Source organism: Homo sapiens, chromosome 12 (genome assembly GCF_000001405.40).
Source record: "Homo sapiens chromosome 12, GRCh38.p14 Primary Assembly".
Lineage (NCBI taxonomy): Eukaryota > Metazoa > Chordata > Mammalia > Primates > Hominidae > Homo > Homo sapiens.
Genome location: NC_000012.12, coordinates 64,596,211 through 64,610,144, shown reverse-complemented (window position 1 = coordinate 64,610,144; position 13,934 = coordinate 64,596,211). Strand labels below are relative to the sequence as shown.

The following is a 13,934-nucleotide window of genomic DNA, read 5'->3' as shown; positions in this document are numbered from 1 at the left end:
GCGGGAGCAGAGCGGGGAACTTTCTCTGCGTCCACTCCCTGCTCGCCCCCGCACCAGGGTCCTGTAGGGGTGGGTGGGGGTTGCCCGGCCGAGGGACCCCCCAGGTCCCACGGCTTCCTGCAGCCGCAACGCCCAGTCCTGAACCCCAGCAGCTCGCCCCTCCAGGAGGATTTCAAGTTGGCAGAGATGGGTGGGGAGGTCAAAAACTGGGTTGAGTTTATTCGAATGAAAACATCCTTTCTGGTCATTCATTTGAGCTTCGGTCTTACCCTTTTCCCCTTCTTTCTAGCGAGGGCTCACTTCCAAATAAGATCGTTATCTTAGGCGCACTCAGTGCAACTGAAAGGTGAACTAGTTCTATAGTTACAGAACAATCGAGTGCTTATCAATTAAATGTGCTTTGTAAATGTCCCCGCCACAATCAGCCTTCCACGGTCACCCACAAGGCATGGTTTAAGTGGTGGGGATAAGGAGATCAGGGAATTCCATCCATCCACGTACAAAAAAAGTTTCCATGTTTTCTAAAACTCTTCAGTCAGCTAATCCTCTTAAAGCCACCAGTGGGTAACAGTCTTTTACACCTTGGTGTTACTGCACTGATTTAAATAATACTAATTTCAAGATCTTGACTGAAAGGTTTTTTTGAAGCTGCAAGCCCTGCTATAGTTAGCGAGCTTCAGAAGAGGTTTCATTAGGAGGGGAAGAGAGACGTTAGAAAAGAGAAAATGTCCATCCATCATAGCCAAACTAGCCAAACTCTCTTACATTATCTCCTTCAATCCTCCGAGCAACTCTGCAAGGTACGTAGTGCTATTTTATGCCGGTTTTACACCTAGAGCAGCAGCTGAGGCTTAAAGAAAGGAAAGTGGCTGTAGGAGGCAGTACTCGGACCGTTCTGCTTTGCGTTCTGTTGATCTGAACGTGGTCACATACCCTACTGGGTTCTCTGCTTGGTATCGGTCAGCCGTGCTCTTTTGTGGACTACAGGAGGAAGAGTTGGACCCGAAATGACGGGAAGGAGAGAAGAATTGACTCATGAGTCATCCTACTGTCCCTAGGCTGAAAGAAGGCTTGCAAACCTGCTCCACCTTCGGGCTTACACATCCATCTTGTAAACTAGTATATATTACCCCACGTGATTCACAACAACTCCAGAAGGAGGGCCTTTGAGTTACAGCCCATTTTAAAGGTCCTACAACATTAAAGTCTTCTTCTCGGCCACACAGCTACTGAATGATAGGAAGCCAGGAATTCTAACTCCATATAGTTTCACCCAGCTTAAGCTGATCCGTGTGTGTGCCATGCACATAATCTAATGTAGGAGAATAGGGCTTTATGACAAATTTTTCTTATTTGGTTTCTCTTATTTCATTATTCAGATATAATATTAGCGCAGCTCTTATTAAATATTCCAAGGTAAGAATAATGTGTAGGTTAAGGGCTTAAATTACTCATTTTATTGTGGGTAGAAAGGGGAAAATAATTTTACCTAGAACAAGTTGAAGTTTATGAATACTTTGAGGAAAAATGCATTAAAATGCTTTATTGGCCGGGCGCGATGGCTCACGCCTGAGGAGGCAGAGGCGGGTGGATCACTTGAGGTCAGGAGTTGGAAACCAGCCTGGCCAACGTGGTGAAACCCCGCCTCTACTAAAACTACAAAAATTAGTTGGGCGTGGTAGCGTGCGCCAGCTACTCGGGAGGCTGAGGCAGGAGAATCGCTTGAACCCGGAGTGGCCTAGGTTGCAGTGACCCGAGGTGGCGCCATTGCACTCCAGTCTGGGCGACAAGAGCAAAACTTCGTCTCAATAAATAAATAAATAAACTTTATGATGCACCACACCATAAAAATGATTTTTTTCATTGTATTATTTTTAAGCTCCAAAGGACTGGATTAATTTGTATATCTGTCAGCATACCATCAGAATCAGTTATAATAAAAAGGCATGATTGAGTGGGGCACAGGGGGAAGCTGAGGTGGAGGATCACTTGAACTCAGGAGTTCCTATCCAGCCTGACCAACATAGTGAGACCTTTTCTCTAAAAAAAAATGATTTTTTTATAAAGGCATGATTAGGCCAGGCATGGTGGTTTACGCCTGTAATCCCAGCACTTTGGAAGGCCGAGGTGGGAGGATTGCTTGAAGCCAGGAGTTCAAGACCAGCCTGGGCAACAAAATGAGACCCTGTCTCTACAAAAACAAAAACAAAAAACAAAAAAAAATTAGCCAATGTGGTGTCACATGCTAGTGGTCCCAGCTACTCAGGAGGCTAGGTGGAAGGATCACTTGAGCCCAGAAGTTTGAGGCTGTAATGAACTATGATCTTACCACTGCACTCTAGCCTGGGTAACAGAGTAAGAGTCTGTCTCTTAAAAAAATAAATAAATAAAATAATTTTAAAAGCCATGATCAAATAATGAAATGGAAGCACTGCTTTTAAGCAACAAAAAAAACATAAATAAAGGAAAGGGCCGAGTGAGGTGGCTCACGCCTGTAATGCCAGCATTTTGGGAGGCTGAGGCCGGCAGATCACTTGAGGTCAGGAGTTCAAGACCAGCCTGACCAACATGGTGAAACCCCCATCTCTACTGAAAATATATAAAAAAATTAGCTGGGCATGATGGCACATGCCTGTTGTCCCAGCTATTCGGGAGGCTGAGGCAGGAGAGTCACCTGAGCCCTGGAGGCAGAGGTTGCAGTGAGCCAAGATCACGCCACTGCACTCTATCCTGGGCGACACAGGGAGACTCTGCCTCAGAAAATAAATAAATAAATAAATAAATAAAGGAAGGAAGAATTGTGATTTTGTTTCCTAAAAGCAGCATAATGATATTTGCATATTTTTCTGGTAGCTTTTTTTTTTTTTGAGACAGGGCCTCACTTTGTTGCTGGAGTGCAGTGGTGCCATGTTGGCTCACTGCAGCCTCGACTTCCCAAGCTCAAGCAATCCTCCCACCTCAGCCTCCCGAGTAGCTGGGACTACAGGCATATGCCACCAGGCCTGGCTAATTTTTATATTTTTTTTGTAGAGACAAGATCTCACTATGTTGCCCAGGCTGGTCTTGATGAACTCTTAGGCTCAAGTGATCCTCCCACCTCGGCCTCCAAAAAGGCTGGGATTACAGGTGTGAGCCACCATGCCTAGCCTGGTAGCATTTTTAATTAAAATATTGTGAATTTAAAATTTAGCTCATGAAAATTGTATCTGTAAAAATTCAAAATGTCATGTTAAGCAACTAGACACTTTTAACATTTCAAATTCAGGGAAGGGGGTGGAATAAATAAAATTAAATGTATGCAACCAAGTTCAAGTTTTGTTTTGTTTTTTTGAGACGCAGTCTCACTCTGTCACCCAGGCTGGAGTGCAGTGCTATGATCTCAGCTCACTGCAACCTCTGCCTCCCGGGTTCAAGCGATCCTCCCGCCTCAGCCTCCCGAGTAGCTAGGATTACAGGCACGCACCGCCTCACCCGGCCAATTTTTGTATTTTTAGTAGAGACAGGGTTTCACCATGTTGGCCAGGCTGGTCTCAAACTCCTGACCTCAGGTGATCTGCCTGCCTTGGCTATCACTGACTCTTATGTGACCTTTAACAATTTAATTAACTTCTCTATGCCTCAGGTTCATCAGCAGCAAAATGGGGATGACAATGTCTTCATTTTATTTTCTTTGGTTTACTGTAAGGATTAAGTGAAAGAATCCAGGCAAAGTCCTTGGCATAGAATAGGATCAAGCAAATATTCATCTTTCTTGCCCCAAATATTAGACCTTATTGCATACTTAACATTCATCACTCACTTCTTTCTTGTTAACTAAACAAGGACTTTAATTCAAGAATCCCCTCGGGAAAAGAAGTCCAATCTCAGCTCACAGGGGTAAGGCCTGACGTGCAGAGTCAGTCGTAGTGGTCCCATTCCCCTTGCCAGGGATTGCTTTAGGCATGGACAGGTCTCACAGACCTGACCACTGAGACCAGAAGGAAACCTGGCTTGGTGCCTTTTAGGAAGATGTTCCTCACTTTTAAAAGAAACCTACAAAAAAAGACTATGTCTTCTTCCTCTGGATCTTGCATGCTTGCATATGGTACCTAGGAATTCTGTAGCCATATTGTGGACAAAATAGACACCATGGCAAAGCAGAACAATACAAAGACTTCATAGCTCTTTGATTAACCAGGTTTGACACCACCCTAATTAGGACTTCTTGTTATGTGACATAAGATATTATCTCGCTGCTTTTTTTTTTTTTTTTTTTTTGAGACGGAGTTTCGCTCTTTTTACCAGGCTGGAGTGCAATGGTGCAATCTCGGCTCACCGCAACCTCCACCTCCCGGGTTCAAGCGATTCTCCTGCCTCAGCCTCCCGAGTAGCTAGGATTACAGGCATGCGCCACTACCCTGGCTAATTTTGTATTTTTAGTAGAGATGGGGTTTCTCCATCTTGGTCAGGCTGGTCTTGAACTCCCAACCTCAGTTGATCCACCTGCCTCAGCCTCCCAAAGTGCTGGAATTACAGGCGTGAGCCACCACGCCCGGCCTAGATACTGCCTTGTTTAAGCCAGTTGAGTTGACCTGTTATCATCCTATATTCCCATCATTTTGTTCCTGCTGGAATAGTCATATCTCTCATAATATTTCTGCCACGTTCTGTTCTCCTCCATTGACATTGGTAGAATCAGTAGAGACAGATAGAAAAAGAAGTAAGAGTTTTTAAATGATTGCTAAGTTGTTCCCCTGAAGATAATTTAGAAAGTTCATTTTCTTACCTTAAAAAAAAAAGCAACCCATAGCAGAGGTATTTAAATTGGCTTTAAAAAGGAAAAAAAATATGTTCTAAAATTTCTCTCAAAAATTCTGACAGGCTGGGTGTGGTGGCTCACACCTGTAATCCCAGCACTTTGGGAGGCTGAGGCAGGCAGATCACCTGAGGTCAGGAGTTCAAGACCAGCCCGGCCAACATGGTGATACCCCATCTCTACTAAAAAAAATACAAAAATTAGCTGAATGTGGTGGGTGCCTGCAATCCCAGCTACTCAGGAGGCTGAGGCAGAAGAATCACTTGAACCAGGGAGGTGGAGGTTGCAGTGAGCCGAGATGGCACCACTGTACTACAGCCTGGGCAACAGAGCAAGGCTCTGCCTAAAAAAAAAATAAAAATAAAATAAAATAAATTAAAAAAAAAATATATGACAAACTCAAAGATGATAGGAGTTGGTTACATGGCCGGGCACGGTGGCTCACGCCTGTAATCCCGGCACTTTGGGAGGCCGAGGCGGGCGGATCACAAGGTCAGGAGATCGAGACCACGGTGAAACCCCGTCTGTACTAAAAATACAAAAAATTAGCTGGGCACGGTGGCGGGCGCCTGTAGTCCCAGCTACTCGGGAGGCTGAGGCAGGAGAATGACGTGAACCCGGGAGGCGGAGCTTGCAGTGAGCCGAGATCGCGCCACTGCACTCCAGCCTGGGCGACACAGCAAGACTCCATCTCAAAAGAAAAAAAAAAAAAGAGTTGGTTACATCAGCCTGGTAGCTGGAGGACAGGCTCTTAATAGTTGAACCGATACAATCAGCGGCTGTTCTCTTTGGTCAGTGCCTATTGGCTGCAACTATCACCCTGGTTGCTTCCATTTTGTTCATGGCAATGACAGGAATAAATGGTATAATAACTGAAAGGCAATGTGTTTGGTTGTTAAGTATGTGGGGTGAGAAATCAGCCTGGGCTGGGCACAGTGGCTCACACCTGTAATCCTACCATTTGGAGAGGCTGAGGCAGGCAGATAGCTTGAACGCAGGAGTTGGAGACCAGCCTGGACAACATCACGAAACCCTGTCTCTACAAAAGATACAAAAATTAGCCGGGCATGGTGGTGTATGCCTGTAGTCCCAGCTACTCAAGAGGCTGAGGTGGGAGGATTGCTTGAGCCTGGGAGGTCAAGGCTACAGTGAGCCATGATCAGGCCACTGCACTCCAGCCTGGGCAACGGAGTCAAACCCTGTCTAAAAAAAAAAAAAAAGAAAACCTGTAATCCGAGCACTTTGGGAGGCTGAGGTGGGCAGATCATGAGGTCAGGAGATCGAGACCATCCTGGCCCACATGGTGAAACCCCATCTCTACTAAAAATACAAAAATGAGCTGGGCGTGGTGGCGTATGCCTATAGTCCCAGCTACTCAGGAGGCTGAGGCAGGAGAATCGCTTGAACCCAGGAGGCAGACATTGCAGTGAGCCAAGATCGTGCCACTGCACTCCAGCCTGGCGACAGAGCAAGACTCCATCTCAAAAAAGAAAAAGAAAAAAAAAAGGAAATCAGACTGCCTGTGTTCAAATGTGGGCTCAGATGGTGTGACCCACAGCATATTATCTAAACTGGTTAAACCTCAGTTCTACATCTGGAAAGGGAGGGTAATAAAATCTTACCTTATAGGATTCTTAAAGGGATTAAGTAAACTAAGACATGCAAAACATTGTGCCTGGCACATAATAAAAGCTCATGATGTTAGCTAATATGATTACGTATAAGGATAGTATTTCCATGTTTGGGCACATCCTCAATAATCAAGGAAAGGATGTGTTACCTGTGAGCCTGGAGGTAACCCCGGTTTATAGGACAAGGTGGGGGAGAAAAGCAAATGGCTTTTCCATCACTAGATTTGTCCATCCAACATATCTAGGACCTAATGAGCTGAAATATTTTGTGCAAAGGGCACTACCTGGTACGAGGACTGCAAGATAAACCCCATAGTTCGGTATCTGTGTCCAAGTGAATTTCATCATAGGCTTCTGCATTTCCTCATTACTGTGATAAGAACTGGCCAAGGGAAAGCATATACCTGATGAAAAAATCCTTGATCATCATAATCATGTTACCTTGTATCTCAGACCCTCAAAGCCCTTGACATTAATGCTTACTCTGACCAAGTCATAATTACCTTTCTCCTTTGAAAGATAAAGAAACAAACAACAACAACAACAAAAAAAAAAGTTAAAGAAACCAAACAGATAAATTGAAGAGCTACACTCCCAACTCTTTTTTTTTCTTTTTTTTTGAGACAGAGTTTTGCTCTGTCACCCAGACTGAAGTGCAGCAGTACGATCTCAGTCCACTGCAACCTCCGCCTCCCAGGTTCAAGCGATTCTCCTGCCTCAGCTTCCCAAGTAGCTGGGATTACAGGTGCCTGCCACCACGCCCAGCTAATTTTTGTATTTTTAGTAGAGATGTGGTTTCACCATGTTGGCGAGGCTGGTCTCAAACTCCTGACCTTGTGATCCACCCACCTTGGCCTCCCAAGTGCTGGGATTACAGGCGTGAGCCACCACGCCTGGCCTACACCCTGAGTTTGGGAGAGTAAAGAGTATAGGGAGAAATCCTTCTTTAGTTGTGAGGCTTTCTGTTTTCTCTTTCTTTCTTTCTTTTTTTCATTTTTAGAGATTGGATCTCACTATGTTGCCCAGGCTGGCCTCGAACTCCTGGGCTCAGCGTGGTGTATAGCTGGGACTACAGATTGTGTGTGCCACTGCTCCGAGCTGACTTTTTTTCATTTTTTTTTCTTTTTTCTTTTTTTTTTGAGATGGAGTCTCGCTCTGGCACCAGGCTGGAGTGTAGTGGCGTGATCTTAGCTCACTGCAACCTCCGCCTCCCGGGTTCAAGCAATTCCCCTGTCTCAGCCTCCAGAGTAGCTGGGACTACAGGTGTGCACCACCATGCCCAGCTAATTTTTTTTGTATTTTAGTAGAGATGGGGTTTCACCATGTTGGCCAGGATGGTCTCGATCTCCTGACCTCATGATTCACCCGCCTCAGCCTCCCAAAGTGCTGGGATTACAGGCGTGAGCCACCATGCCTGGCCCTGTTATAATATTTAAAAAAAAAAAATAGAGATGAGGTCTCACTATGTTTCCCAGGCTAGTCTCAAACTCCTGAGCTCAACCAATCCTCCCACCTCAACCTCCCAAAATGCCAGGATTGTAGACGTGAGCCACCACACCTGGCCTATGCATGGAATATTTCTTAATTTTTTTTTTTTTTTTTCTGAGACGAAGTCGCTCTGTCACCCAGGCTGGAGTGCAGTGACATGATCTCAGCTCACTGCAAGCTCTGACTCCCAGGTTCACCCCATTCTCCCGCCTCAGCCTCCCGAGTAGTTGGGACCACAGGCGCCCGCCACCACGCCCGGCTAATTTTTTGTATTTTTAGTAGAGACGGGGTTTCACCTTGTTAGCCAGGATGGTCTTGATCTCCTGACCTCGTGATCTGCCCGCCTCGGCCTCCCAAAGTGCGGGGATTACAGGCATGATCCACTGCACCCGGCCTTATATTTCTTAATTATTTTTAAGAGACAGAGTCTTGCTCTCTTGCCCAGGCTGGAGTGCAATGGCCTGATCACAGCTCACTGAAGCCTCCCCCTCCCAGGGTCAAGGGACCTTCCCACCTCGGCCTCCTGAGTAGCTGGGACTACAGGCACGCACCATCACGCCAGCTAATTTTTTGTAGAGACGGGGTCCCTCCATGTTGCCCAGGCTGGTCTCAAATTCCTGGGCTCTAGCAATCCACCCACCTCAGCCTCCCATAGTGCTGGGGTTACAGGCCAAGCCCAGTCATATTCTTAATTTTATAGTAAAATAAACTGAAAGGCAGATGGTAATTGAAATTTTTTAAACAACTACATTTTAATACTATGAGGATCTTCATCCATAGATGATGGCGTTAGAGCAGGGCCTCAGACCTAAAGCTTCTGAAAACTTAAGTCATGGTAGTAAAGCAGACTCTCACGAACAATTTTGTAGAAAATATTTTGTTTTGAAATAGCAATAACTACTAGAATGGTTTCTATTTTTTAAATTTTTTATTACATATTTTTAAGACAAGGTCTCACTCTGTCACCTAGGCTGAGTGCAGTGGCAGGATCATGGCTCACTATAGCTTCAACCTCCCAGGTTCAATTGATCCTTCTGCTTCAGCCTCCCGAGTAGCTGGGACTACAGGCGTGTGTCACCATGCCCAGCTGATTTATTTATTTATTTATTGAGGCATGGTCTGCCTGTGTTGCCCAGGCTGGTCTCAAGCTACTGAGCTCCAGCAGTCCTCCTACTGTGGCCTCCCAAAGTGTTCGGAGTACAGACATGAGCCACTGCACCCAGCCTAAAATAGTTTAAATAAGGCCTAGATGGATAAAAATAGAATATGACCCTGTTTTGGGCACTATGGAAGGTTACAATGACATTAAGAGAAGACTGAAGAAAGGAGAAAGCAATATAGCACCTCTATATCTAAAAACTGATTTCCCATAGTAATCGAATCAGAAAAAGACAGAAATCAATTTAAGCCTGAGAAACCAAATATAGTAACAATGTTTTAAAACTCTAAGTTATAGCTTCATAAATAAAAAATTCTAAAACCACACAAAACCACTGGGGTCTAAGATGTCTGTTGGTAATTTCCACTTACTATTATTACGTACATATAGGTCACAGTTAAAAATTTTTGTTAATTCTTTCAGTCACGCTACAAAGATGATGCATATATGGTGAATGGAAGCAGTGGAGAATTCTAGCTTCCCTCAAATGAGAAAGAAAAAAAACAAAATCCAAACTTCAACATTTGGATCTTTTTGGCAAAGATATAGGACTCCCAAAGGGCATTTGAAACTAAAAATTAATTAGGCAGGTTGTTCCTCAAATAGTTGGGAAATTTACCGAGTAAACACACATACTGTTTGCTCAGTATGTTTAATGAGTTTGCTCATTAAAGTACTAGTTTATTCATGTCCAATGAAAGAAAGCCCACAGGGGGGACAAAAACCTGAAGAGCAGTTGGTGGTGATGTGTGTGCGTATGTCTGTGTGTGTTTGTGTGTGTTTTGAGATGGATTTCCCATGCTGCCCAGCCTGGTCTGGAACTCCTGGATGTAAGCAATCCTGCCTCTACCTCCAAAGGTGCTGGGATTACAGATGCATGCCACTGTGCCTGGCTAGTTGTTTGTTTGTTTTTTTAACTTCTGAGATATTTTTTCTAGAAAAGACCCCTCAGATAAGGAAAAAAGATTAATTCATTGAACATTTTTTGACCTCTTACTGTGTATCAGGCACTATTCTTTTTTTTTTTTTTTTTTTTTTGAGATGGAGTCTCTCTCTCTCTCGCCCAGGCTGGGGTGCAGTGGCGCGATCTTGGCTCACCGCAAGCTCCGCCTCCTGGGTTCACGCCATTCTCCTTCCTCAGCCTCCCGAGGAGCTGGGACTACAGGCGCCCGCCACCACGCCCGGCTAATTTTTTGTATTTTTAGTAGAGACGGGGTTTCACCGTGTTAGCCAGGATGGTCTCGATCTCCTGACCTCGTGATTCACCCGCCTCAGCCTCCCAAAGTGCTGGGATTACAGGCGTGAGCCACCGCGCCCGGCTTATCAGGCAGTATTTTGAGCGCTCCTAAACTCATTTAATCCTCCTAACACTTCTCATCTTCCCCTGGAAGCGTGGCATAGACTTTACAACGGCAAGCGGCAAGGCAGCCCGAGCTCCCACGTTCACCCTCCTGATCACTACACTACACAGCCTTCGGGCTCAGCCAACCTAGGGTGAGAGGAGTGTCAGACAACTTCAGAGGAAACCACAAGGGTTTCCAGCCACAAATGATTTGCAGTGAATTGATTTGAAATATGTTATTAGAGAGTGTCTTTGTGTGACAGAGATTGTATTCGAGGTTTTTAAATGAGAGAAAAGATTATTTTTATTCAATTGTCTGGGACATTGAACTTTCCAACATTGATTTTGATCAGTCCTTGCAATTAATTTGTGCTCCCTACCCCCACGCTTCTGCTAAGGGCTTTTAGCCATCTATCCCTTAGTTTGAATACAGGTAGGGAGATCCTGAACTTTTTTTGCCATGAGGCATTGACCATGATTATGACCCATCCATAGTGATATTATGTCTTACAGGGGCTTCTAGAAGCAGAGCTGAGGCTGGGAGATTAATGCTGTCCTCAAAGTGAAGAGTCACCACTACTTGTCAAGTCATGTCATCTCTGCAGCCACGTGCATTTTGTAAACTGGGAAGAATAAACAGACATTTCTGACATTTTTGCTTGAGATTTAACCTCAGCGCGTCAAGAGATAGAGAGGGGAACAGAAATAAATAAAATGTGGCTAAATAAGGACTGTTTATCACAAACACAAGGCAGAGATCTGGTGACCATATCTGACTTTGAAATCTGTGTCTCCAGGAAGAGGAACATCACACACCAGGGCCTGATGTGGGGTGGGGGGAGGGGGGAGGGATAGCATTAGGAGATATACCTAATGTAAATGACGAGTTAATGGTTGCAGCACACCAACGTGGTACACGTATACATATGTAACAAACCTGCACGTTGTGCACATGTACCCTAGAACTTAAAGTATAATTTAAAAAAAAAAAAGAAATCTGTGTCTCATGACAACAGCTTTAGGAAAATAGAAATGCTTTTTTGTTCAAGAAAGGCATTCCAGGGAGAAATTGAGCCTTCTTAATAAATACAAGTAAGAGACCTAACAGTGCCCTCAGAATTTCTGTGGAGGCCTTAGTGGTAGCCTAAGCTGGGCTGCATAAATTGTCCATATCAAAGGAAAATTGCTGATGGATATAATTCAGCAATTGTTCTCCCTTGTTCCCTGCTGTGCTATATCCATGCCATAGCTATAGCTACATCCACTCTTTCACTACCTTAAGTACTGAGATCTTATTATATGCATAGCACCATGGAAACTGGGTAAGACATAAAAGAAGAGTTAGATAGATTTCTGGCCTTCAAAACCTTATAAACTAGTTAACGAAAAAAATATTCCCCATAGAACAATTATGTAATGATAACAGACTGTGATTACCCAATCAATAAACCTGTGAAGAATGTGTCAAAATATAAGCCAAAGTCAGAAGAATGTGATAAGATTTGGTCAAGGGCCGGGCAAGGTGGCTCACGCCTGTAATCCCAGCACTTTGAGAGGCCAAAGTGGGCAAGTCACTTGAGGTCAGGAGTTCTAGGTCAGCTTGGCCAACATGGTGAAACCCCATCTCTACTAAAAATACAAAAAAATTAGCTGGGCATGGTGGCTTGTGCCTGTAATCCCAGCTACTCGGGAGGTGTGGAAGGAGAATTGCTTGAACCCGGGAGGCAGAGGTTGCAGTAAACTGAGATTGCACCACTGCACTCCAGCCTGGGTGACAGAGTGAGACTCTGTCTCAAAACAAAATAAATAAAAGATTTGGTCAGGAAGCCTTCAAAGGAGGTGGGATTTAGTTTGATTCTTAAAGGAGAAGGATACGTAAGAGGAATAGAATAGGAAGTTCAGGGAGAAGACAGGTCACTAGCAAAAACTTAAGCACAATCTATTTGCCTGCTAAATCAAACACTTAAAATAGGCTAGGTGTGGTTGGCGCATGCCTGTAATCCCGGCACTTTGGGAGGCTAAGGTGGGTGGATCACCTGAGGTCAGGAGTTCGAGACCAGCCTGGGCAACATGGTGAAACCCCATCTCTACTAAAAATACAAAAATTAGCCAGGCGTGGTGGTGCACGACTGTAAATCCCAGCCACTAGGAAGGCTGAGGCAGGAGAATCACTTGAACCTGGGAGGGAAAGGTTGCAGTGAGCTGAGATTGTGACACTGCACTCCAGCCTGGGCAATAGAGCGAGACTCTGTCTCAAAATAAAAATAAAAATAAAATAAATAAAATAAAAAATAAAATAGGCCGGGTGCCATGGCTCATGCCTGTAATCCCAACATTTTGGGAGGGTGAGGCAGGTGGATCACGAGGTCAGGAAATTGAGACCAGCCTGGCCAACATGGTGAAACTCTGTCTCTACTAAAAATACAAAAATTAGCTGGGTACGGTGGTGCATGCCTGCAATCCCAGCTACTCGAGGGGCTGAGGAAGGAGAACTGCTTGAACCCAGGAGGTGGAGGTTGCAGTGAGCGAAGATCGAGCCACTGCACTCCAGTCTGGGCAACAGAGCAAGGCTCCATCTCAGGAAAAAAATTAAAAAATAAAATAAAATGGAGAAAAATTGACCAGATATGTGAAGGCCAACGTGTTAAAAAAAAATACACTGAGGCTGGGTGCGGTGGCTCACGCCTGTAATCCTAGCATTGTAGGAGGCCGAAGTGGGTGGATCACCTGAGGTTGAGAGTTCGAGATCAGCCTGGGTGGATCACCTGAGGTTGAGAGTTCGAGATCAGCCTGACCAACATGGAGAAACCCGATCTCTACTAAAAATACAAAATTAACCGGGTGTGGTGGCACATGCCTGTAATCCCAGCTACTTGGGAGGCTGAAGCAGGAGAATCACTTGAGCCTGGGAGGTGGAGGTTGCGGTGAGCTGAGATCACGCCATTGCACTCCAGCCTGGGCAACAAGAGCAAAACTCCGTCTCAAAAAAATATATATATATATACTGAAGAGTTAAGATTTTATCTGCAGGGAATTTGGGAACTAGTGGAGTCAGGGCATGACATGAAGAAAAGAGTGTTGGGGCATGGGGTGAGGGTGGAGGGCTGTGTTGTAACACCAACTGGGAAGGATCAGACAAACAAGCTCTGACCATAGTTTGTGAAACTTCCTGTCATTTAGCGAGGGACACATGCAGTGCACAGGATGAGCACTTGTTGGGCACTGGGAAATTTAACTCCAAATCCTTGAACATCACTGGTGCCATGCTTGTACAGCCTGCAGAACTGTGAGCCAAATAAACCTCTTTTCTTCACAAATTTTGCAATTTCGGGTTTCCTTTATAGCAACACAAAACAGACTAACACAGGAGCCAAGGGAGAGCTTTCCCCTTGTCCCTCTGAAGGTTTGCCAAAAAATCAACTAGCATAAGGTAGATTAACTGAAGAAAAGGCAAACAAATTTATTTAACGTGTATACACGAGAGCCTTCAGAATGAAGACTCAAAAGTACAGGGGAAAA

At 44.8% G+C, this 13,934-nt stretch overlaps 1 protein-coding gene and 1 long non-coding RNA gene across 3 annotated transcripts in view, besides 3 other annotated features; one reads left to right on the top strand and one right to left on the bottom strand.

The window, feature by feature from the left end:
- RASSF3 (Ras association domain family member 3) overlaps window positions 1–13,934 on the bottom strand; it is a 190,601-nt gene that overhangs the window by 87,420 nt on the left and 89,247 nt on the right. The window lies entirely within an intron of this gene.
- Window positions 81–150: a silencer, noted in NCBI's record as "silent region_4622". NCBI's record gives its function as "represses an Ori minimal core promoter by ATAC-STARR-seq in GM12878 lymphoblastoid cells {active_cell/tissue: GM12878}" and the evidence as "EXISTENCE:reporter gene assay evidence [ECO:0000049][PMID:35858748]".
- On the top strand, window positions 679–11,067 carry RASSF3-DT (RASSF3 divergent transcript). Its single transcript, NR_187549.1, has 2 exons — window positions 679–800; window positions 10,929–11,067. It is a non-coding gene; the product is annotated as an RASSF3 divergent transcript (long non-coding RNA).
- Window positions 781–840: an enhancer, noted in NCBI's record as "active region_6596". NCBI's record gives its function as "activates an Ori minimal core promoter by ATAC-STARR-seq in GM12878 lymphoblastoid cells {active_cell/tissue: GM12878}" and the evidence as "EXISTENCE:reporter gene assay evidence [ECO:0000049][PMID:35858748]".
- Window positions 1,061–1,110: an enhancer, noted in NCBI's record as "active region_6595". NCBI's record gives its function as "activates an Ori minimal core promoter by ATAC-STARR-seq in GM12878 lymphoblastoid cells {active_cell/tissue: GM12878}" and the evidence as "EXISTENCE:reporter gene assay evidence [ECO:0000049][PMID:35858748]".